Genomic DNA, 3,136 nt, shown 5'->3' on the forward strand with positions numbered 1-3,136 from the left:
GGAAGGTTTTCGGAGCTAAATGAAACTTTAAAAGGCTTCTTATTCTTTTGCAATTATTCATTTATTGGGTTCAGTGAAACGTATTGAGTCACAAAGAATGATCTTGTTTTATTTTTCTTTTCCCCCCAAAACATAGTGCTATTATAAAATAAAAGTTATACAAAAAAATTAAGTACTTCTAGCAAAGGGGGCATTTTTAAAAGAATTACAAGTGGTTTTTTTTACATTCAAAAGCAACACAATGTAGTAAATTACTGTATCTGAATATCCTATTTTTGCACCACATTTAAATTGTTGGAACCTGAAAAAGTAAGTGCCAATGCTTGATTCAAAGAGATATTTATCACATTCTCTAAACTGATGGGAAGAATACACAGACACAATAGGGATTACAAGTCTCTTTGATGAAGTCTCCCTGATTTGAACCTGTTTTTTCCTCTTTCATGGAACAAGAGATAATCACCCCTGAAATAAATATTTCCCCCTTTGAAAAATGATTCAAACAAAAGATAATTGGGCAAAATAAGGCACTGCATTCATAGTTAAGGTGGGAAATAATAAATAAATACGAACAGATAAAACACTAAGATTATGTCTCTTCACTCTATTTTCAAAAGGAAAAAGGTAATGAGCAGACACCCACTTGTAATTTACAAGCTGAAGTCTTCCTTTGACAACCCACAGATCAATTAAATCCTCTTCAAATTAGTTTTGATGTGTTAATGTGAGTTCCCCCACCTCCCTAAGTTTCCATGGACCATTACTGGGTTTTTATGCTGGCTTTCTACTGAATTGTTTCTAGTGTTTTGTTGCATGTTAATACAAGGTCATTTAAAACTATGTAAATATGGAGAAAAGTAACTCTAAAGCAGATTATTCCCTGCTATGCTTTATTTTCTCACACTATATCCTGCCTTCTACTAGCTAATAAAAAACAGAAAATATTTGAATCTTGATTCATTTTTCCCCTCCACAGCTGTATCTATAATCTTTAGCAATACTTAGATTATCAAAATAGAGCAAGTGACCATATTCCAATTTCTACAACCCATTCAAAAACACCTAGATTTTATAAACTGTTAACCTTAATCTGTCACAAACACTTAACTCTAATACAGAGTGACTAACAGGTAAAGAGAGAATATTTTAAATTTATGACTGGGTAATTCTTTTCACATATGATGGAATCCAAAACAATACCTCAGTTTTATCTGACAGGGAATTACTGTCACGTTTGCCTCCCCAATGCTTCCTGTTGGGGGTGAGTGGTCTATTCTTCAGCATGACAAAGTCTGATTTCTGAATGGCTGGTAGTGTCAAAGGGCCATTAGTATGCTAAGCCTTTTAGTGGCATGGGATAGCTCCATTCTGCTTTCCTCAATTGTTGCAATTGGGCCACGTGATTAACTGATGATTTCAAGGCAAGCTTTGGAATCTTGATGTCTTCCAGAAATTAATACACCTCCTGGTAATATAATCTATTGACTATTACTGCTCAATTTTTAATGCCTGAAAGGAGGTACAGTCTTAGTGAAACTCTCAAGGAATGAGAAAAGAGAAGACACCGCAAACAAAATGCTAGCTTCATTCATAATTAGGTTTTAAGAGTTTAAAAAGACAAGTCTAATCTGTTTGGAGAAACTGTTGACAGCTCTTATGCTCTTTATTTTAAAAACTTCTAATAAAAATGATAACAGACAGCAATTTTTCAAAATTGATTTGAACTATTAACATTTTGTAATACTTTTTTGTATAGTCAATTCTTTATTGTTCAGCACTATTTTTTACTTCGTAAAAATATTTTTTTATGCTTATTAACTCCAAGCATCTACAGTAAAATGGAATAAACATAAAACAATCATTTGAAAATTAGAGGAAGTGAATCAGATGATTTCTGATCCTATGCTAATTATTTTATTACATCTTATACTTACTTTATGTTTATCTGCAAGCCAATAAGTTTGTTGAAATAGCACATTTAGCTCCAAAGAAGATTTGAAAGGTGATACACTTTAGATTAGTTTGCAAACGGTTCCAAAGGAGGAGACTAGATGGCAAAACTGAGCAGTTTCCTGGCCTTGCAGGAATGAAATCTGTATAGTGCATGTTATTTGCTTAAAAAGACATTTCAAGAGTATCAGCCACATATATACTCAAACGCAGAGAGAAAATACCTCACAAAGTTCAATGCACAATGTTTTTTAGATTACTGAAATTTAAATTATCCACAAATTTGCTTTTATTTCTAACAGGTTAATAATTAAGAGCTGAGCAAATCTTATTACTTCTGTGGCCTAGGTCAGCAGAGACAGGCTGGCTTTTCAGAAAGCCTGTTTCTTTCTTTTTTTGTTTTCTTCCCCCCATGCACACAGCTAGACCACACATCCCTGCCTCTCTTGCAGTGAGGTGTAATTATGTGAATGAGTTTCAGCTAATAGGATGTATTTAGCTAATAGGATGTGGCTTCACTGCCAGGTCTGGTCCATAAAAGTCTCTTATACATGATCCTTTATGCCCTTTTTCCACCTTCCAGACTCGCTCAGAACACAGTGACTTTGAAAACCTTGGATGAAGAGGACTGAGCTACAAAATAGAAAGAGCCTTGAAACACATTCCAGAAACACTTAACAGGAGAATCACCAATCAGGAACACCTAGATTGGACTTTATGTGAGTGAAAAAATATATATATATATATAATTTTTGAACCATTACACATTTCATATTGAAAGTGAAGAACTGCTGAACGTAAGACATTTTACGACATTGGTTTTAGTGGCTGGGCATTAAACAACGAGGAAATGGATACTACAGGCTGGAAAGATAGAGATTCATGATATCCAGAAGCAAAACGCATGGTAAAGCTGCCTCCAAGGAGAACTTGAAAGAACCACAGAACCTGTAGCATCAGTGGAAGTGACTGGAAAAAATAAGACTGACTGCTTTTAGCAAGCTATCACAAGAGACAAATGTGCTTAGGAAAGAATGGACTGGTTTGCAAACAGAAATAAAGGGGATAAAGAAAGGCTAGAAATGTGGTTCCTCAAAGGACTGGAAAAGTTGACTGCTTTTAAACTTTAGGGAATAGAAGATAACCCTGGGGAAAAAAGACTTCGAGCAACAAAGGGCCATAGGGT

General features: G+C 34.7%; 1 annotated feature.

Moving 5' to 3' along the window:
• Positions 300-941: an enhancer, noted in NCBI's record as "NANOG hESC enhancer chr5:52840750-52841391 (GRCh37/hg19 assembly coordinates)". NCBI's record gives its function as "activates a minimal SCP1, AML or CMV promoter by ChIP-STARR-seq in primed H9 embryonic stem cells {active_cell/tissue: H9 hESC(primed)}" and the evidence as "EXISTENCE:reporter gene assay evidence [ECO:0000049][PMID:30033119]".

This window comes from Homo sapiens, chromosome 5 (assembly GCF_000001405.40).
Source record: "Homo sapiens chromosome 5, GRCh38.p14 Primary Assembly".
NCBI classification, from domain to species: domain Eukaryota; kingdom Metazoa; phylum Chordata; class Mammalia; order Primates; family Hominidae; genus Homo; species Homo sapiens.